We start from the raw sequence: 23,229 nt of genomic DNA on the forward strand, positions 1-23,229 counted from the left end.
GGAGCGAGACTCCATCTTAAAAAAAATTAAAAAAAAAAAAAAAAAAAGCTAGAGTTGCAGGGGTTCTTGAAGTTCATTTACTGTTGGATTTTGAAGACTATTAAGATGTACAAGGAAATTATAAAACTTGTAATTCCCTTAAACACATAGGTTAAAAAATCAGGAGACTAGAAAAATGCCAAGAAACTTTACCTCCCAACATCACAAACCTCTGTTATTCCAAGTCATTAAAAAAACAGTTCTTTCTTTTCTAAGTGCTCTCTGGATTACCACTGAAGAGTCTATACTCTTTGATTAAGGTGCTGGTGTTCACAATACTAATATTGAGAGCATCTGCATTTCAAACAAATGTACCATGGTATGAACATTATTTAAACCAAAATTCTGTTTGCCCATCCATCCCTGGGCACTGTCTTGCAATATCAGGTCATCTAAGTGGCAAACTGATGTTTAAAAAAAGAATATATGTCAGAAATGAGTGAAGTATGATTTTGATGCATGGTCTTTTCACTTTACACTTATTTCAATTCTGAGGTATGGTTTGTATCTTCAACTTATATTTCCTATGATTGTTTTGTTTTTCTTTGCTTTTACATTTTAAAAACATTTTTGTTCATTAGTTTCTCTCATTTTTGTAACTATCGTATCACTACAAATGAAAATGAACATTGAAGTGTCAAACAAATTACTGTTCTCCAACAAACACGTGTTTCTTCGGAGGGCATTTACCTACAGCCACACCAACACCAAGTTGTTTAGTTTTTTTTTTTTTTTTTTTTTTTTTGAGATGGAGTCTCGATCTGTTGCCCAGGCTGGAGTGTGGCGGCACGATCTTGGCTCACTGCAACCTCTGCCTCCCAGGTTCAAGCAATTCTCCTGCCTCAGCCTCCCGAGTAGCTGGGACTACAGGCCCACACTGCCATGCCTGGCTATTTTTTTTGTATGTCAGTGGAGATGGGGTTTCACTGTGTTGCCAAGGCTGGTCTCGAACTCCTGAGCTCAGGCAATCCACCTACCTCGGCCTCCCAAAGTGCAGGGATTACAGGCATGAGCCACTGCACCCGGCCCCAAGGCTGTTTTTCTAAAGGGTAACTGACAAAACAAGGTCTAAGGTCATCTCTCCACCAAGGAACAAGTTTCCTAAAACAGTGATGGCACTATGAATACTGATGTCAATGGAAGCCAGATAGTTGAGGAAACAGGTAATTTACAAAGATTTATGAAAAATTTCTCACTGTTCCAATTGCCTTGCATTGTTTTCTTTCCTGTGCTGGCTCATGGTGTTCTACAAGATGTTCTGCAGTTCCAAAAGGCCAGACACCTCTTACAGACACTGATGAGGAAATTGTCTCAAGAACTGAGCTGGGTAGAAAAGCCACATCTCAAAAGTAGGGATCAGCTTTTGGGTTTGTCAAATTTCCTTATTATACACCTCAAAATAGACAAAAATACTGAGGATGATGGTGACCAAAACCTATTCACTGCATGTCAAGGATCAACTGCTGGAGGAGCACTCATTTATCAAAAAGCCCAATTTACATACGCATTACTTAATCTGACAGGCACAGAGAAAGGAAATTATATAGCATAGGGCAATGTTGCAGAAGATAGGCTGTGCTGAATTGTTCAAAGCCAAAACTTCAATATTCCTATGGGCTAACTTATCCTAGAATAGCTGATAAGCCTCAGATAACTTTTGATTAAACTTACAATAACCCAATGGTTAGTTCCTAAGGTCCCAGGTGATGCTACATTAAAAAGAAATAATTTGAACTGGGAAGAATATAATACTCCAAGGATATTAATGACCATGTAAAAATGTACACAAAAAATAAAACTGTTTCAAAAGGCAAAGTGAGAGAACGTTAAGCTTACCTGCAAGTGAATCAACAACAGCATTATATTTTCAAAAATAGTTATAAACCTTTGATGTTCTGATTGCTATCTTCCTACATCCAAGATTTAAAAACTGGTCATGCATAGAAGAGTTCCTTTAGGATTGACTGGGTTTTAAAATTCTAGGAAGACAGAATTAGGGACTATAGACCATCCTGGTTTTTTGTTTTCTAGCCCCAAAGCAGCAAAATTAAGCATTGAGAAACCAATTCATATGAATGAGGCAATAGCAACAACAACAACAACAAAACCCAACATGTTTCGTGACATATACCTTGGAGGCATTTTGTATATTTGGAAATTCTCATTTGCATTTTTAGACAATGGAGTAACTCTTTTGCAGGTTGTACTAAAACACAAACACACCACTGAAGAAACCAGACTAGGAATTTCAGCATTCATTCGATGTTTCTGGAAGTCAAGGAAAGTAGCCAATTAAAAAATAACTCAAACACTGCCTCTTCTTCATGTTCAGCAAGCACGAGATTAATGGCAGAATGGCTTACCTGGGACAGGGCTCCTTCTTGAATTTAAGTTTTGAGAATCCAAAATCTCTTCTGTTTGCCCATCTGCTTCTACCTCTATTTTGTTCTGAATCTCTTTTGCATCTTCACTAAGGCAAGTTCTTATGCTCTCGTCCTCCTCTAGGACTCTCTGGACTGTGATGGCAGCACTCGGAGAACTAACAGTAGTGGCAGCAGCAGGAACAATGACTGGAGTGTGAGGAGGAGAAGCTGGAGGAGTTGGAGGAGTTGGAGGAAAGGAAGGAACTGTGGAAGGGGTGATGGGAGCTGGGATACACTCCAGTTTCATTTCTTCTGGGGGATTTTCGAGAATCTCCAATTCAAGAGTCAATGGCAATACTTCCTGTTTTACTATTTCCACAATGCTCTCCGTGGCTGATAATTTTTCGCTAACTCCATTTATTTCATTAATTAGGTTAGTACTAGAAACCAGTGGAATATCATTAGGTGCTACACTACAGGGTTTCTTGCATATATCATCATCATTTTCATTTGTTGGTAAAGGGTCTGATGTTTCTGTGCAAGATGTGAGGCTGGGTATAGGAATTGTGTCTTCTCTTGGGGATGAGAGTTCACATCTGTCATCTATAGCAGTGGTGAATATTGGTTGGCTACTAAGAGCAGAAGAGGTGGGGGCTGCAATTGTACTTCGAGCAACAGAAGAAACAGTGGTAGGTGATGGAGGCAGAGGAAGCTCTGCTATGGATACTATTGCAGTAGTTTCAGATGTCTGGCCTTCTTGTTCTTTCTTCTCTCCACTGAGGACTAGCCTAAGGACTGGGGAAGGAGACTTTAACACTGGATCTGGTTTTGGCTTCTCCTCTGGGGAAAAAAAAATAAGTTTTAAGAATAATTCTTGGATCAGAGACTACATATTGCCTTGGGCCAATTCTTTCAATGTCTTACCCTAAATTACAGGTAACAGAACAGAGACCAATATATTAGACTTATTCTGGTATGCCAAAAACATTGTCTCTTTTCTTTTTTTACTTAAACCTACTATTTACTTGGTATCCAATACATAAAGTCTGTTTTGGAGTAAGAGAAGGAATCTATTCACCAAAAAATTATATATCAAGAATACAACTGAAAAGCTCACCAAAACTGAGGCTAAACCATTCTTGGTTTAAGAGTGAGGCTTTTCTTTAAGGTAGGAAAACCTTCATTTCTACCACTTCTCGTTCCCTAAAAAACTTTTTTTCCAAGGATATATTACAGTGGCAAAACAGTACAAGGGCAAACAATTAAAAATTAAATTATTATAAAGGGACTGATGTTATTTTTTATTCTATATATTTTTGTATTTGGGGAGATAATTTTTATTTTAAAAAGTATTACTTGTATAAAAACTCAAGATAAAGCATCACATTTTATTTAATGAAATTTACTATCAGTGAAATCAAACTATTCTCAGTAACTGATAAAAATCAGTTTCTAAATTAATTTACCCTTCAATTCTCAATGGAAGTATATAACCAGAAATAATGTAAGGTATAAAAATGGAAATTGCTGGGCTTGGTGGCACATGCCTGTAATCCCAACTACTCAAAAGGCTGAGGTGGGAGGATCACTTGAGCCCAGGAGTTTGAGGTTGCATTGAGCTACGAATGCATCACTGCACTCCAGCCTGGGCAACTGAACAAGATCCTGTCTCTAAACAAAACAAAAAAAACAAAATATATCTTGTGTCTTTACATGTAAAACAATTAAGGAGAAAACAAAGTTAATACACGAATAAATCCAATGAAAAAGAAAACAATATACATATAGTATGAAAATACTAGTGTTTCATAGTATGAAATAGTTTGATATAATATACAAAAATGCATCTGTGTATATATAGAGAGAATGAGACGGAGAGAGAAGAGAAGCTGGTCATCATAATGCGGGTACCAGAAAAACACAAGGAACAATAATTAACAATAATTTCCACATTTTTATTAATAAATTCCAGGTAAATTGATATGTGATTCATCCCTGAGTGGAGGAAACCAAAGGAGATTTAGACTGGCTTCCAGCCTTGTGCTTCCTTAGCACAATAAACAGGCTCCATGGAAAAACATATACTCATGAGTATGTTTATCAAATGACAACAAAAGATTCAAGCACTATTAAAAGACAACCTAAACTGAGACTACTTTCTCCAACAGAATTTTTTATACATCAATGAAAGTGAGTCTTTACAATAAATTGTAATTATGTGAAAGCAAATATGCAGTTTATCAGATAAATAGGTATTAAATATTACCATTAAGATATTATTAATTCATTCACTGTAATGACACTTATTAGCCTTAAAATATACTTTTATTTATAGGCACAGAAGCTGGTGCTTCTAAAATTGGACTTTTCTTAGTTACTGCAGTGATGAAATAGAATCAATAGGCTCTCATTGCCAAATCCCTCAGACTAAGTTGACAGGGCAACAGACAAAAATATTTCAGGAAAACTTGTCTTTATTTTTTTTGTGTGTGTGTGTGTGTGTGTGTGTGTGTGTGTGTGTGTGTGTGTGTGTGTGTGTGTGTGTGTGTGTATGTTCGTTCTAGATGGAACACACCATATATAACAAATATGTATTTATCAAAATATCTTTGATGAAAATAATTTCCAGCTCACTGGAGTAAATAAGTCACCCAGATTACATAATACCACTGTGAAAGCTTATCAGACTAACACCCTTTATGACCACTGACTGAAACCTAGATGCAGTAAATTTAAAAATAGGGCAGGGTGTGATGGCTCGCATCTGTAATCCTAGCACTTTAGGAGGCTGAGACGGGAGGATCTCTTGAGCCTAGGAATTTGCGATAAGCCTCGGCAACATAGTGAGACCTTTTGTCTACAAAAAATTAAAAGATTAGCCAGGTGAGGTGGCGCAGACCTGTAGACCCAGCTACTCGGGAGGCCAAGATGGAAGGATCGTTTGAGCCCAGGAGGTCGAGGCTGCAGCAAGCTGTGATCATGCCACTGCACTCCAACCTGGGCAATAGAGCAAGACGCTGTCTCAAAATGAAAAAGGGAAAAGAAAAGTGGGGAGAAGGAGAGAGGGGGAGCGGGGTGGGGGGACAGAGAGAGAGAGAAAAAGAGAAATTGATTCTCACATTAAATATCTAATAAGAGTATGTCAATTCAATTATTAATGTTGGGAAACAATTTCTGATAGTAAAAAATCAAACAAAAGTAGACCTATGATTGATAAACTTCTATACACACTTCAGAAAAATCTAGTATTGAAAAACTTAGGCCAGGCATGGTGAGCTCATGCCTGTAAATCCCAGCACTTTGGGAGGCCAAGGGGGAGGATCACTTGAGCCCAGGAGGTCTCAAACTACAAGACCTCATTTCTACAAGCTGGGCATGGTGGTGTGCATTCGTGGTCCCAGGTACTCAGGAGGCCAAGGTGAGAGGACCACCTGAGCCCTGGAGGTTGAGGCTGCAGGGAGCTGTCATCGCACCACTGTACTTCAGCCTGGGTGATACAGTGGAGTGAGACTCTATCTCAAACAAAACAAAACAAAACAAAACAAATTGTGAGTTCTTCATTCTAAAATAAAAGTCCTTTAACCCACTAATTAAAGCTTTAATACAGAAAGCTGAAAATGCAGAAAGCTAAAAACACAGTAGAGCTAAATTAAAAAAAAAAACACTTATTTTATCCCTCTAAAGACTTCTATTATAAAAAGTTTGGCCATCTTTAGGAATTTGCAGGAATTCCAGCTTTAAGAATTTTTCTAATAATCATGAAAGGGTTAGCAAAGATAGATGTCTAGAATATTTAAGGCAACACTATTTATAATACAAGAAAAAAGGAGAAAAAAGGAAATCAACTAAATGTTCAACAATAGAGATTTATTAAAGAAATGATAATCTGGGCATATAATGGCATACTATGCAATATTTAAAATATGTTTTTAAAAGAGTATTTAATGATATGGAAAGTTGTTTGTAATAAAAGATATGTTTTGTTCTGTTTCTGAGACACAGTCTTGCTCTGTCGCCTAGGCTGGAGTGCACTGGTGTGATCTCAGCTCACCGTGACCTCCACCTCCCAGGCTCAAGCAATCCTCCTACCTCAGCCTCCCAAGTATCTGAGACCACATGTACGAGCCACCATACCTGGCTAATATTTTTATTTTTTGTAGAGACAGGGTATCGCTATGTTACTCAGCTGGTCTTGAATTCTTGAGCTCAAGCAATCCTCCTGCCTCGTAAGCAATCCTCCTGCCTCGTCCTCCCAAAGTGCTTAGATTACAGGCGTGAGCCACTGCATCTGGCAAGAATTTGTTTGTTTGTTTGTTTGTTTTTAGTGGGGCACAAAACTCTATGTAGAACCCAATTTGGTAACTTAAAAAAATGCTTAGTACTAACATATGTGCATAGGGGAAAGTCAGCTTATTAATAATGGCTCTGAGTAATCAGACACATACTTTTTCATTTTGCTTAGCTGTAGTTTCCATAAAGAGTGCCAAATTTATAAGAAGAATAAAATTGCTCCCTTTTATTCTCATATGGTGGTGGAATCAATGACCAAGACTGGGTTGTCTTTTGGTTGTCACAAGTCTCTCAATGACTGAGAAGATGCTATTGTCATTTAATAAGCAGAGAGAGGAATGCTGAGCATCCTGCAATTTGAGGTACAGTCTCACTTGACAAAGAATAGGTCCTAAATGCCAGCAGAGTCCCAAATGAACAACACTGCTATGAATGGTTGAATTACAAACAGAATACCATTCACTGAACACACTAGGTGCTTTCAACAGGCACTAAGATTAAGACTAAGGCACCAACTAACTCCTTTAATTATCCATACCATATCCTCAGTACAATGGATTTAATGTTCTTTCTCACTCAGTAAATAGCAATCATTTCAGCTGTGTACTATCAATACCAAGCAAAAATTTTAATTCATTCAACAGTTGTTCTCTCTACAAACCAATGTGAAGTATTCCCTATGTCTTCATAAGGTGCCAAACAAATGTAAAATGGTAGATTTGTCTGGAACCTTGGCCTTCATGTAAATATTCTAGCTCTTCATGTCAAAAACTCTGAGAAACCGGAAGCTTAATAATGGCAGCTAACATTTGTTAAGCACTTATTATGTGCCAGGAACTGGGTCAAATACCATACATACATTGTCCCTTTTAATTCTCACAACCACGATTGTTGGGGTAGAAATTATTTGCCTATTTTACATATGAGGAAACTGAGGGTTTTAGAGATCAGTCACAGGCCCAAAGTCATATAAGTAGCAAGTGCTCAAGTCTGAGAATGATTTCAAATCCCACATTCTTCCAACTTTTTGGAGGAAAGGGGAGGCTTATGGAAACAGAAGTACTTAAGTCAATCAAGCAGGAGGGAGACTTTAGAGTTAACATGAGATTGTGTAACTGAGTACAAACTCTCAGTAAAGACATTTCTATTGAGAAAGAAAAAAACAATCTGCAAAATGTAGAGACTGTTGTTTCTGGGAGTAATATAACAATCTTTGAGAAAAGTCAGTTTTTATATGCTAATTTCAAAAGGAATCTACAGTGAAGAAGGAAATTTTTAAAAACTCCTTGGCTGGCTGAGGTAGCTCCCGTAATCCCAGCACCTTGGCAGGCCGTAGCAGGCAGGTCGCTTGAGCTCAGGAGTTTGAGACCAGCCTACACAACATGGCAAAACCTCGCCTCTAGAAATACAAAAATTAGCTGGTCATGGTGGTTCATGCCTGTAGCTCCAGCTACTCAGGAGGCTGAAGTGAGAGGACTGCTTGAGCCTGGGAGGTGGAGGCTGCAGTGAGCCATGATCGTGTCACTGCACTCCATCCTGGGTGATAGAACGAAACCCTGTCTCAAAATAGAAGAAAAAAGAAAAAAAAATCCTCAGTGTAAAGAAAAAAAACCATTTTCTCTGAAAAAAATAGTGAGCCCTTTCTAACATTACATAAATTTGGTTAAAAAAAAAAAACTCTGAAAACAGTAATATTTTAGCTATCGGCAGGCTATGGAAGAAATTAGAAATGTTACTGTTTGACTAGCCAAGAAAGAAAAAAGAGAGAGAGAGAGATGAAAGAAAGAACGAGAGAGCAAGAGAAAGAAAGAAAGAAAGAGAAAGGGAGAGAGAAAGGGAGTAAGGCAGAAACAGAGAAACAAAGAAAGAGAGTTAGTTTTCTGGTGAATAGTTGGTACTAAAAGGAAGATAACAGTAATTCCAGAGCATTAGTTATAACCTCTGAAATGCACTTAAAATACTACAAGTTTTTCTTTTCATCAAGGTAACCTGAATACTTTCCAATTAAGCCTATATTATACACCAGTTAGATATGTTGATGTTGTTATTCAAATTTCCACTAAGCAAAACAAAAACAAAAACCTGAGAGGAAATCAAGTCTGCATTCCTTGTCTGGAAATCTGGGCCTAAATATGACAAAATGCAGGGATCTCATAATCTAAAAATTTTAACATTATTTTTCACAAAATAATGGCAAACGCAATAATACTGTCTTCAGGAAGGACAGAACTATCATCATCAAAGTATGTGATAAATTTTTTAAAAATCCTGGCACAGCTACAGAGAAAGTCTGCACAGAAGATATATTTTAAGGCCTCTTTGCATGGGAAGTATTCAATATGCTTAGCATAATTCTAACCAGCAAAAAGATTACACATTTGCGAAAGTGCAATGAAGTTTTGAAGGGAAATACTCTGAGAATTATTCTCCACTAAGATTAAAAACATTCCGAATTTTGACTCAAAACGACTTTATCATTGAAGGTAGCAAGTCGACTTCCACATTTGGTCTACAGTCTGTAATTTCGCAAGGTAAATGGCTTTACTATTTAAAGAATTCGCTTGAAGCATGCAGGAGTTCTCCTTTAACTCAAAATGTTGCTGAAAGAAGTTCTTGACAGTGCAGTTTTTTGAAGCATGCCACATTAGGGATCACTAACTATCTTTTGGTTTAAAACTATCTTATATAACAAATACAGTATAGGACCTGTCTGTTCAAGAGTATCAGGCTTCTCAATACTCAGGGGGAAAATGAAATTTCTATACTAAAAACACATATCATAATCTTTGTTTGATGTAAAAATCAATGAAATCATGTATTAGAAGTACATCTTTCAGAAAGTTTATAAATGTGATTGACTAACTTGCAGTCTACCCAAAAACCTTTAATATTAAATATATCTATTTTATGGGCCATTCCTAAATATTTTTTAAAGGATAATTTTTAGTCCGGGCATGGTGCCTCAGGCCTGCAATCCCAGCACTTTGGGAGGCTGAGGCAGGCAGATCATTTGAGGTCAGGAATTTGAGAGCAGCCTGGCCAACATGGTGAAACCCCGTCTATACTAAAAATACAAAAATTAGCTGGGCATGGTGGTGCATGCCTGTAATCCCAGCTACTCGGGCGGCTGAGGCAGGAGAATAGCTTGAGCCCAGGAGGAGGAGGTTGCAGTGAGTCAAGACTCTGTCTCAAAAAAAAAAAAAAAAAAAAAGAATAATTTTTAGAAAATCTATATACTAACTATAGAGCTATAGAATAAACAAATAGTTTGGAGGAATAAATAATTCAAGAAAGTAAGAAGGTACATGGCTTCCATATTGATATCCAATCATTTTTAGAAATCTGAAACATAAAGCAGGGTCAAAGTTACTTGCTTCCCCGAACTATGTTTAGAATTCTCTCTCAATTTTAGCAAAGGTCAAGTTAAAATACAACTAGGCAGGAAAGAAAGACTATGATATCCCACTTTCTGGTATTAGATTTCCTTTAAGTTTTCTATTATATTCCCAAAGGCACAGTATTTATTTCAACAAACATTTGGCACCTTCATGTTCAAGTTCAATAGGAGCAGAGACCTTAGTGTACTATTCCTTAATACAGCATTAATGACTATAATTTACTAAGCACTTTTCCTGTGATAGGCATGTTCCCACAGTAATCCTGTCAAGCACATAGGTCTTTATTCCATTCTATCAGTGAAGAAACTGAGACACACAAGGTCAGTGGCTCAATCAAGACCAAATAACTAGTGCATGATGGAGCCGGGATTGGAACTTGGCTCCATCTCCAAATGTGGCTATAGAAGCCCAAACTTGTAAGAAGAAATGTTTTATCTTTTTTTCTTTTTTAAAATAGCAAGATACCTAGGGACATGCTGAATATATAAGCTAAACTGTATTGTTCTTGTAAAGTAATATATGCTAGGATTTCTCCCTCCACTTCCCACCTTGTTTTAAAGGGCAGTTTAAGGCAGCTAACCTTTAAACTGTATACAGATACTAACAGTGAGAGATTAAACAAATGTATGAAATAATTTTACCAATCATCCCTACTTTAGTTTCCTAGAGGCAGAATACTTTAATTTTCTGCCTCAAAGCTTTGTTTAAAGGTGGGTGTCTAAATAATCCTTGGATGCTGTACTCTTACTCTTGAATGCTGACGGCAATGTAATTAATAAAAAAGAGACTAAAGATAAGAGGGAGGAAAACAGTCATACACAAACCTTGCTTCTGGTCGCTAGCTGCAGTGACAGGGGTGCTGGCAGCAAGATGAGCGCTCTCCACAGTCCCATAAACCACAGGGCTGTGCTCGGGGACCTGGCTGGGCAGCTGCTGGGATTTGAAGTACAAAAAAGGGTGATAATGAGCGTGCGAACATAAAAACTAGCAACATGGAACCCAAGCAAGTAGGGAAGACAGTAGAGCACAGGAGATCACAAAATTAAAAAAGGAAAGCAAGGAAAAAATATATAGTCCAATTTAATAAATTCAAAAGTACATGGGAAGTCAGGGAAGATAAAGAAAGAGGCAGCAGAAAAAGAGGAAGGAAAAGAAATGATTACTATTAACCACAGCAAGAGAAGACAGCACAACAATCATTAGCACAATTTATTCCCCAGTGTTCCTTCTAAGGACAAGCCGACTTGTCAACCTAACAATAGACGACACATCTGAGAAGGAATTTAACACCCTCCCAAAGACCAAGAAGGATTTGGTCAACTTCATGTATAAATTACCTAGCAAAGCAGGACAAACAGAAAATGTAATGAGGCTGAAAAGCGGTTACAGATTCAAGAAAACAATATTGAAAAATGATTCCTGCTACTTATCCATGTAATCATACAGGTGAAATGCAACTTTGAAAGTATGTAATAAAGCAATTTTACCATAAAATGTCTACAGGTTCTGGGTCAAATATGGTATTTTCAGAATCAGAAATCTTGACTAAAATATTGGGTTTTTCAGAGATATAAGGAAACTCATTTTCACTCAGGCATTGTATTAGAATGAAAAATGGCCATCAAAATCCAAGCAGGATAGGTTGAGAAAAATCACAGCTATTGCTCAACTTAGAGGGAACAGAATTACACAAGAGAGGACATGAACATTCATTCTACATCACATTCTAGGCAGGTATTCATTCAGGATTTGAGGTTACACAAGCCACGAAACAAAGCAGTGTCTCTCCTCGGAGATCTAAGGTCAATTTTTTTGGTATCTATAATATCCTACAACGAATTCTATCAGTGCTATCAGAGTAGAGCTCCCTGCACAATTCTATTTTTCTTTTTACTTTTTTTTTTTCTGGGGAGTAGGGATGGGGAGATTAAGATGTGGGTGAGTGTGGGCAAACAGAGACACTTAAAAAGTGAGAGTTGATAAAAAATATTTTCAAGTCAGTAAGTGTCACTTAAAATGGGAATATAAAATGAAATGGACACATACAATTTAGGATGATAGATATCATTTAAGTAACTATGCTTTTCAGAATGTACAACATGAAATTTATATTTGACTATATAAGGCTTATATAGAATAATAGACAGAAATAGGGAAAATGCTATCATTTCACCTATTCATTAGACCAAGAAAATGTTCATATTCCACAATTCTAAATGAAGACTACTAAAATTATATTTCTATATAAAAAAATGGAGAGTTACTGTTTTCACGGGGACAAATAAAGAAAATAGCACTGCTGTAATTACTCTGAATCCTTAGTTTCAGTGGGAAAAAAATGCCTTACTGAAATTCAATAGAAAGGTTCACAGCTAAAACTAAAAATACCGATTTTTCAGTTCTATAGGCTGAAAAGAGATCTGGAACAAAGGAAACACTCCATGTTATTTAGCATTCATTAAGCAGTTAACCACATTTCCCAGGAAAAAAAGATTTGTAAATTGTATCATTTACCTAAAAGGAAAAAAATATTAACTACTCCAATTGCCTGGGAAATTAATAACCAAATAAAAAGGGGGGGGCAGGGTAAGTGCTAAAAGTAGGTCACAAAAATGACATTCAAAGAAAAAGTAAGATGTTTAAGACAGTAAAAGGCTACTAGAGTCAATGATTTTTCCATCTAAAATACCTTCAATCATATAAAAGATGGACATTTTAAAATAACAAAGTCCTAGAAAGAATCTATGTATAAAGAGTCGTAAGAAAGGAGTGAGATAATATGTTTGTTAAGTTACAATTTGAAATCCAAGTATCCAGTACATAGGTATATAGCCACAAATGCTGGGAAAGTACTTCTCAGGTCTCACAGCTATGAAATGTAGAACTAAAGATCCTACAGTCTCCTTCAACTTTATCATTTTATAAGCCTCCAACAGTACTAATAAAATCATAACGTATTAACATATAATTCAACACTTTTTTTTTTTTTTTTTTTGAGACGGAGTCTTGCTCTGTCACCAGGCAGGAGTGCAGTGGCACAACCTTGGCTTACTGAAACCTCTGCCTCCCAGGTTCAAGTGATTCCCCTGCCTCAGCCTCCTGAGTAGCTGGGGCTACAGGTGTGCGCCACCACACCCAAACTAATTTTTTGTATTTTAGTAGAGACAGGGTTTCACCATGTTAGCCAGGGTGGTCTTGATCTCCTGACCTTGTGATCCGCCTACCTTGACATCCCAAAGTGCTGGGATTACAGACGTAAGCCACTGCGCCCCGCCAGAATTCAATACTTTAGTCTTGTTCAGAATTAGTTTTAATTTAGGATAATCTTGTCAAATTGTAGTTTAACCTCCAATTTCATCTCTTCTCTCCTAAAGAAGTAACTCAACCAGGCCAGGTGTTGTGGCTCATGCCTGTAATCCCAGCACTCTGGGAGGCCAAGGCAGACAGATCACCAGAGGTCAAGAGTTCGAGATCAGCCTGGCCAACATGATGAAACCCCGTCTCTACCAAAAATACAAAAATTAGCCAGGAGTGGTGGCAGGTGCCTGTTAATTCCAGCTATTCGGGAGGCTGAGGCAGGAGAATTGCTTGAACCCAGGAGGTGGAGGTTGCAGTGAGCCGAGGTCGCGCCACTGCACTCCAGCCTAGGCAACAAGAGCAAGGCTCCGTCTCGAAAACAAGCAAACAAACAAACAAACAAACAAACAGTCTATAACAAAGGAGTTCCTTATCTTCCCAAAGAAAAAATAATGATGAACTATTTTACTAATCAATAAGTCAGAAAAATCAGGAAACATACCAAGTACTGTGACACAAAACATCACATCCAATGCTGTATGCATTTTGATACATATGAAGAAATTAAGCTAGACAGTTAAGAATATATTTAAGGAATTTCAAAGCCACTGCATTTTAGTCACTTTCACTATTGGTGGGAATGAAAACTTATAAAATCATTCTGGAAAGGCAATCACTACCAAAATATAAAATAACTCAATAAAGATGCTAAGGAAGTCAGAGTTAAAAGGTCAGGGTCATTTAGCAAGTCTTCGCACACTGTTGCAACAGCTCATCAATTATGTAAATGGTAAACTCCCCTGTCAAATTTTTCAAAATCAAGGTTCTGATTGGTACAAGGAAAAAAAATAAAGTGTTTCTCACTTATAAACTAGAGTGAAAAGAGTTTAAGGGAGGGCAAGATATTAGATTCCTGATAGTGTTTGAGAAAAATTCTTTATAAATTCTCCTTTAGAACCTACTCAAAGATTTATATACTAAATTTAAAGTATTGACCTCAAGAGATCATGGTAAGCTTAGGCCCACATACTGGAGGAATTCATTTTTTAAAAACATAATGTTTACCTATTAAGTAAACAGGCAACAGAATCTAAATTTGTTCTTTAATACTTCTTTGCACAATTCAAAATTCATTTTTCTTTACATAGGCACATTGTTTTGCACAAAAAAGGGGTCACCTTCTTTTGTCTTCTATTTTAATCACATAAATGACAGAATACTTAAGTACAGAGGTGGTTATAGACAAGGGTCAACAACTACAATCCTGGGGCCATATACCTGATTTTGTACTGCCCACAAGGTAAGTTTCTACAATTTCAAATGTTGGCGGGGTGGTGGGGAAAACAAGAGACAAACAGTATTTCTTGACACATGAAAATTATATAAAATTCAAATTTTGGTGCCCATAAATAACATGTTATTGGAAGAGACACACCCATCTATCTACATATTTTCTATAACTGCTTTTGTGCCACAATGGCAGAATCGAAGAGTGCTAAAAGAGACAATATGGCTGCAAAGTCTAAAATATTTACTATCTGGCCCACTAGAGAAAATATTTGCTGACCTGTATTGTAATTCATTTAGAGAAAGCCAGAGACTTCAAATAGTTACATAAATATAAGCAAAGAGTTGATTTACTGTCATCATAAGAATCCCATTCAATGACTTTAAAATAATCCTGTATAAATACCTCATGTATTTAACATATATAAAATCTGTGGATAAACAAGTATAGCCTCCACTGAGAAACACTATGAAGGCTAAGAAGCAAAACAAAGGCCAGGCAAGGTGGCTCACGCCTCTAATCCCAGCACTTTGGGAGGCCAAGGCGGGTGGATCACGACGTTAAGAGTTCAAGACCAGCCTGGCCAAGATGGTGAAACCCCATCTCCACTAAAAATACAAAAATAAGCTGGACACAGTGGCAGGCACCTATAATCTCAGCTACTCGGGAGGCTGAGGCAGGAGAATTGCTTGAACTCGGGGGGTGGAGGTTGCAGTGAGCCGAGATCGCGCCACTGCATTCCAGCCTGGCGAGAGAGTCAGACCCCGTCTCAAAAAAAAAAAAAAAAAAAAAAAAAGAAGCAAAACAATAATATACTTAACGATGCCAGGAAAAACTACCAAAACATGCTTCTTTCTTACGTAGGAATTTCTCCCATTCTCTCATTAGAACGGTGTGTGTCAATATGTGTGTATTTCCTCCTGATGTTTAACTTGTACAAAACACTATGAATCTACTCATGGCTAAGACAACATTCCTGGGTTCACAGAGCTTATATTCTATCAAAGGAAACATATGGTATAGACCACAAAATTAATCATTTAATCACTATAGGTATAAATGCTTTACTGGGAAAGTTAAGAGTACAAAGATGACCCATAATCTGGGGTTCTGACTTTGTGACGTATGTGAGGAAGATATTCTGAGTAAGCAACATTCAGGTTGACTTTCAAAAAATCAATGTGAATGTTGGCATGTAGGAGGAAGGGCAGTTAGATGCATCTCATGCAGAGAGAACACATGTACGAAGATTCTAAAAGGAAGAGTATTCCATGATCAACTCCCTTATGTAAAAGGTAAGAGGGATGCAGAAAGAACAGGGGAATCTGGTGTGAAATGAGGCAGGCAGGAGTCAGGCAGACAGGCCTTACAGGCCAGACCAAGGGTTTTTGGTCTTTATCCCCATAGCAATGGCAAGCCAGGGCCAGGTTTTAAGCAGCAATATGATATAATCAGATTTGTGTTTTATTTTTTAGTTTTTTTTTTTGAGACAGGATCTCACTCTGTCACCTTGGCTGGAGTGCAGTGGTGCAATCACAGCTCACTGCAGCCTCGACCTCTTGAGTTCAAGTGTTCCTTCCACCTCAGCCTCCTAAGCAGCTAGGACCACAGGTGTGTACCAACATGCCCAGCTATTTTTTCTTCTATCTTTTGTAGAGATGGGGTCCCAGTATTTTGCCTGGGCTAGTCTTGAACTCCTGGGCTCAAGTAATCCTCCCGCCTCAGCCTCCTAAAATGCGGAGATTACAGGCATGAGCCATCACACCTGGCTGATATTTTATAAAGATAATTCTGACCACTGCATGGAGAATGAACTAGAGCAAGGAAACAGCAGTTACAAGAATGCAATTTTCAAGGTTACTTCAGTAGTCCAAGGGAAATAATTTTGGTGGTAATAATGGGGGGCAGTTACTTAATTTTACTTAAAGGTTGGGGGTAAACTGACTGGGCTTGATTAGGTAACTGATGACACATGGTAGAGAGGGTATCTATGAGGAGAGAGGGGTAAAAAGAAAAACATTAGGTTTCTGGTTTCTGAGATAGGGGCCAGTCTGAGAAAGGGAACACTGGAGGAGACATAAGGTTTGGAAGTCATGGGTTTGGTTAGAGGAAAACCATGAACTCCAGTTTTGAGGTTGTAGGGCTTGTGAAATAACTGAGTACAGAGATCAAGTCAAAAATTGGGTATCTAACCTGAAGCTCTGAAGTGTTCTCATAATATAATAATATATGACATGCCATAACAAGCACCTCCTTTAATACAAAGGCAATAAAAAACAATAAATAATGACCATAGCAATAATATAATGGTAACAATAATTCCACTGAATTCTAATGCAGGAATTACAGGATGTAAGGACTACAATAGGCATCAACCACATAGATCAGTTCTTTCTATACTAATTCTTTCTATACTAATATGGTTTGACTGTCCCCACCCAAATCTCATCTTGTAGTTCCCATAATCCCCATTACACACCTCAAAAATTCTATGAATATGGACTTTTGTATGTTTTTGTATGGACAGTTAGTCAATAGTGAAGAGACACTGGATAGTATTTTGTGGGGAAACGGTGTGATATGATTTATGTTTTAAAAAGATCACTCACTTGGGCTGTTGTGTACAGAATCAACAGAGGAGAGGCAAGACAGAAGCAGAGAGATGAGTGAGAAAGTTCCTGTTGTCTAAGGAGAGCAAAGTGGCTTAGGCTACAATAACAGCAGTGAAGGTGGTGGGAATGAGTCAAATGGGACTTGCTGATGTAATGACTGTGGAGAGTGAAATTAAGAGGATTTAAAGGTGAGTCCTAGGCTTAGAACCTCAGCAACTTAGGTAGACTACAGTATAATTTACAAAAAAAAAAAAAAAAAAAACAAGGAGAGCACATCAAACACCTGTTGAAATATTTTATTTTATTCAATTTTTTGAGACAGGGTCTCGCTCTGCCACTCAGGCTGAAGTGCAGTAGCATGACCACAGCTCACTGTAGCCTCAAACTCCCAGGCTCAAGCAATCCTCCTGCCTCAGAGACAGGGTATCGATATGTTGCCAGGGCTGGTGAACTCCTGGGCTCAAGCAATCCCCCCAGCTTGGCCTCCCAAAGTACTGGGATTACAGGCATGAGCCACCGCGCCTAGCCCTGAAATAGTTTATAACGAAGGGGTCACAAACTCAAATCCCTTCAGAAACCTTAATATGTGATGCAAAAGGGAGTAAATAATAACAGAACAACTTAACAAACTAGAGGGTGTATGCTTGGGCTAACAGCATTCAGATTGATGAAATATTGTTTTTTCTTTAAACACTGACCTGACAAGACAATACACATCTGCAATAGAGAACATCCTTGAAAGCAATGAAAGGTTGCCAAGGTCAGAAATGATGAGAGGAAACCCGGACACTCAAAATAAAAGCTTGAAGGCAGACTTAAGAGGGCTTAAGAAAATGATTTTTAAAGTTCTTGGGGGCAAAAGGAACCCTCAAAACTACACAGATACATGGAAATTAAATAATCTGTTTCTACATGGTATCTGGGTTAATAATGAAATCAAGATGGAAAAATTATCTGAATCAAATGATAATAATGATACAAGTTATCAAAACCTCTGGAGTACAGCAAAAGAAGTGCCAAGAGCAAAGTTTACAGCACTAAATGTCTACATCAAAAAGTCTGAAAGAGTGCAAACTGACAACCTAATGTCATACCTCAAGGAATTAGAAAAACAAGCACAAGCACAAACTAAACAAGACTCTGTCTCAAAAAAAAAAAAAAAGAAATAACAGAAATTGCAGCAAAACTAAATGAAATTCAAACAAACAAACAAAAAAAGCATTACAAAAGATCAATGAAACAAAACATTGGTTCTTTGAAAAAATAGATAGACTATTCACTAGAATAACCAAGAAAAGAGAGAAGATCCAAATAAGCTCAATTAGAAATGAAACTGGAGACATTACAACAAACACCAGAGAAATAAAAAACATCACTCGAGACTACTATGAACAACTTTATGCATACAAACTATAAAACCTAAAGGAAATGGATAAATTCCTGGAACATACCACCCTCCTACATTAAATCAGAGGAAAGACAAACCCTGAACAGACCAATGACAAGCAGCAAGATTGAATCAGTAATTTTAAAATTTCCAACACACAAAAAAAGCCTGGACCAGATGGATTCATGGCTAAATTCTACCAGACATTCAAAGAAGAACTGGTACCAATCCTACTGAAACTATTCCAAGTGACTGGGAAAGAGAGAATCCTCCCTAAATCATTCTATGAAGCCAGTATCACCCTGATACCTAAACCAGGAAAGAACACACAAAAAAAGAAAACTACAGACCAATTTCCATGATGAACACAGATATAAAAACTGTCAACAAAATACTAGCTAACCAAATGCAACAGCACATCAAAAAGATAATTTATCATGATCAAGTGGGTTTTATTTCAAGGATGCAGAGATGGTTTAACATATGTAAGTCAATAAATGTGATACATCACATAAAAAGAATTATAAACAAAAACCATATGACCATCTCAATAGACGCTGAAAAAGCATTCAACAAAATCCAGCATCCCTTTATGATAAAATCCTCAACCAAGTAGGCAAAAAAGGGACTTACCTCAAAATAGTAAAATCCATATATGACAAAACCACAGCCAATATCATACTGAATGGGAAAAAGTTGAAAGCATTCTCCCTGACAACAGGAACAAGACAAGGATGCCTACATTTCACCACCTCTATTCAACATAGTTTTGGAAGTCCTAGCTAGAGCAATTAGGTAAGAGAAAGAAATAAAGGGCATCCAAATTGGAAAAGAGGAAGTCAAACTATCACTGTTTGCAGATGATATAACTGTATACCTAGAAAACCCTAGAGACTCCTCCAAAAGACTCCTAGATTTGATAAATGAGTTCAGTAAAGCCTCAGGTTACAAAATAAATGTACACAAATCAGTAGCACTGCTATACACCAACAACGACCAAGCTGAGAATTAAATCAAGAATTCAATACCTTTTACCACAGCTGCAAAAATAAAATGAAATACCTAGGAATATACTTAACTAAGGAGGTGAAAATCTCTACAAGGAGAAATACAAAACGCTGCTGAAAGAAATCACAGATGACACAAACAAATGGAAATGCATCCCATAATCATAGACTGGAAGAATCAATGTTGTGAAAATGGCCATACTACTAAAAGCAATCTACAGATTCAATGTAATTCTCATCAAAATACCAACGTTTCACAGAATCAGAAAAAAAAATCCTAAAATTCATATGGAACCAAAAAAGGGCCCAAGTAGCCAAAGCAATCCTAGGCAAAAAGGAGAAATCTGGGGGCATCACAATTACTTCAAATCATACAAGGTTATAGTTAACAAAACAGCGTAGTACTGGTATAAAAGTAGGCAAATAACTAATGGAACAGAATACAGAACCCAGAAGTAAAGCCAAGAAAGTACAGCCAACTGATCTTCAACAAAGCATATAAAAACATAAATTGAGGAATAGACACCCTATTTAACAAATGGTGCTGGCAAAACTGGCAAACCTCATGTAAAAGAATGAAACGATCCCTATTTCTCACCTTGTACAAAAGTCAACTCAAGATAGATCAAAGACTTAAATATAAGACCTGAAACTGTAAAAATTCTAGAAGATAACATTGGAAAAAACTCTTCTAGACATCAGCCCAGGCAAATAATTCATGAGTAAGACCCCAAAGCAAATGCAACAAAAACGCAAATAAATAGAACCTAATTAAACTAAAAACCTTTTGCACAGCAAAAGAAACAATAGAGTAAAAAGACAACCCATAGAGATGCAAACTACACATCTGATGAAGGAAATCTACAAGGAACTCAAACAAATCAGCAATAATAATAATAATAATAATAATAATAATAATAATAATAATCCCATCAAAAAGTGGGCAAAGGACATGAATAGACATTTCTCAAAAAAAGATACATAAATTGGCCTACAAACAACATGAAAGCATGCTTAACATCACTAATGATCAAGGAAATGCAAATTGAAACCACAAAGCGATACCATCTTACTGCTGCAAGAATGACCATTATTAAAAAGTCAAAAAACAATAGATGCTGGCATGGATATGGGGAAAAGGGAATGCTTATATGCTGCTGGTGGGAATGTAAAACTGGTGGGAATGTATAACCTCTATGGAAAACAGTACAAAGATTCCTTAAAGAGCTAAAAGTAGATCTACCATTTGATCCAGCAACCCCACTACTGGGTATCTACACAAAGGAAACGAAGTCATCATATGAAAAAGAGATTTGAAAACGTATGTTTATAGCAGTACAATTCACAATTGCAAAGATGTGGAACTAATCTAAGTGCATTTTGATATATAAGTGTATATATCAAAAATAAATTCTGCCTGGGCACGGTGGCTCATGCCTGTAATCCCAGCACTTTGGGAGGCTGAGGTGGGCAGATCAACTGAGGTCAGGAGTTCAAAACCAGCCTGGCCAACAGGCGAAACCCTGTCTCTACTAAAAATACAAAAATTAGCCGGGCATGGTGGCAGGCACCTGTAATCCCAGCTACTCAGGAGGCTGAGACAGAAGAATCACTTGAACCCAGGAGGCGGAGGTTGCAGTGAGCCAAGATCATGCCACTGAACTCTAGCCTGGGCAACAGAGACTCTGTTTCAAAATAAAAAAAAAATTCAGCTGGTGCAGTGGCTCATAGCAGAAATCTGGGAGGCTGAGGCAGGATTATCGCTTGAATTCAGGAGTTTGAGACCAGTCTGGGCAACATAACGAGACCTCATCTTTACTGAAAATAAAAAACATTAGCCAGGCATGGTGGCATGTGCATGTAGTCCCAGCTACTCAGAAGGCTGAGGTGGAGGTGGGAGGATTGCTTGAGCCCAGGATGTCAAGGCTGCAGTGAGCTGTGACTGTGTCACAGCACTCCAGCCAGGGCAACAGACAAGACCCTGTCTCAAAAAAATAAATGAAACAGAAAATTTAACAATTCCGTATGACAGAAGGCACGATTAACAAAGCTAAAACACAATCATCAAACAAGAAAAAAATGTTAACATATGTCAAAGTATTTATTTAACATGTAAAGCCCTCTTATAAATCTGTCAGACAAAAATCATCACCCAAAAGAAACGTGTACAACAGATAATTCATACACCCACAAATAACTGGTGAACATCGAAAACTTCTTAACTTCACAGAATACACAAAAATTAAACAAGATACTGTTTTTTATTCTGTCAGATAAGCAATGAGTAGGTCTTTGATGGTCTGTGTGCAAATTCCTTAAAAATAATTTTTATTGGCCAGGTGTGGTGGCTCACGCCTGTAATCCCAGCACTTTGGGAGGCCGAGGTGGGCGGATCATGAGGTCAGGAGATCAAGACCATCCTGGCCAATGTGGTGAAACCCCGTCTCTACTAAAAACACAAAAATTAGCTGGGCATGGTGGTGCATGCCTGTAATCCCAGCTACTCGGGAGGCTGAGGCAGGAGAATCGCTTGAACCAGGGAGGCAGAGGTTGCAGAGAGCCAAGATTGCACAACTGCACTCCAGCCTGGTGACAGAGCAAGACTCCGTCTCAAAAAAATAATAATAATAATTTTTATTACTGCGTAACAGATGTACACAGTTTCAGTGTACCCACAAAAATTTAACACATTCACATAATTCAAAGATAAATATTTGTCTTTTCTTTATGCTAGGAGCATTTGAATTCTTCTCTGCTAGCTATTTCAAAATGTACAATGGATTATCGTAAACTATAGTCACCTTACTGATCTACCAAACACTAGATCTTATTTCCTCTATCAAACCATATAGTGTATACAAATTCATTTTAATCTATGAAACAGCATAACAAAGCAAGGATCTCTGCTCATCATGACGAACAGAGAATAGGACACTTTTCAAATGTCCCATTTAAAAACTTTTGAGAGAATCCACCCCAGTTTAGATACCTATTTAAAGTCTACAAGGCTTTACATATTATTGAAAAGAACCATTTAAGTCAAGGGAGGTTACTAATGATAAGTTATTTCATTAAAGATAAAGAAAAATATAATTTAATTTAGTAACCACTATTTTTATCGTAGTCACCACTAAAACAAAAACCATACCTGTATGCTTTAAGGTACAGAATGCTATTAATTTATCAGTGCCTATGACTGAGATGACAAAATGAAATTTTAAAAGATTGGATTTGTTTACATTATACTAGGTATCACCTTCAAATTCTTCATGCAGGAATGTAACTATTTACTGCACATATTAACATATAACATGAATATCATAACCGAAGCTATAGACCCAATTCTAGGAAACTATTACTGCTAAACCATGAAATGAACTACAGTTGACCCTTGAACAATTCAGGAGCTAGAGGAACTGACCCCACACAGTTGAAAATCTGTGTATAACTTTTGACTCCCCAAAAACTTAACTGGTAACAGCCTACTGCTGACTGAAAGCCTTACCGATAAAACATATTTTTTTCTCAGTATGTATGTTTTATATATT

General features: G+C 37.4%; 1 protein-coding gene across 64 annotated transcripts in view; it reads right to left on the minus strand.

The window, feature by feature from the left end:
* Positions 1-23,229, minus strand: part of EIF4G3 (eukaryotic translation initiation factor 4 gamma 3) — a 370,606-nt gene that overhangs the window by 132,797 nt on the left and 214,580 nt on the right. For 30 of the 64 annotated variants that reach the window (XM_047433340.1, XM_011542370.3, XM_047433319.1 and 27 more), the window contains 2 exons: positions 10,915-11,023; positions 2,403-3,242 (listed from right to left, as the gene is read on the minus strand). In XM_047433340.1, the coding sequence (XP_047289296.1) occupies positions 2,403-3,242; positions 10,915-11,023 (949 nt within the window). Of the gene's footprint in view, positions 1-2,155; positions 2,308-2,402; positions 3,243-10,914; positions 11,024-23,229 lie in introns of those variants that run through there. The other 34 variants (XM_047433321.1, XM_047433324.1, XM_047433231.1 and 31 more) reach the window with 4 other exon arrangements.

This window comes from Homo sapiens, chromosome 1 (genome assembly GCF_000001405.40).
Source record: "Homo sapiens chromosome 1, GRCh38.p14 Primary Assembly".
NCBI classification, from domain to species: domain Eukaryota; kingdom Metazoa; phylum Chordata; class Mammalia; order Primates; family Hominidae; genus Homo; species Homo sapiens.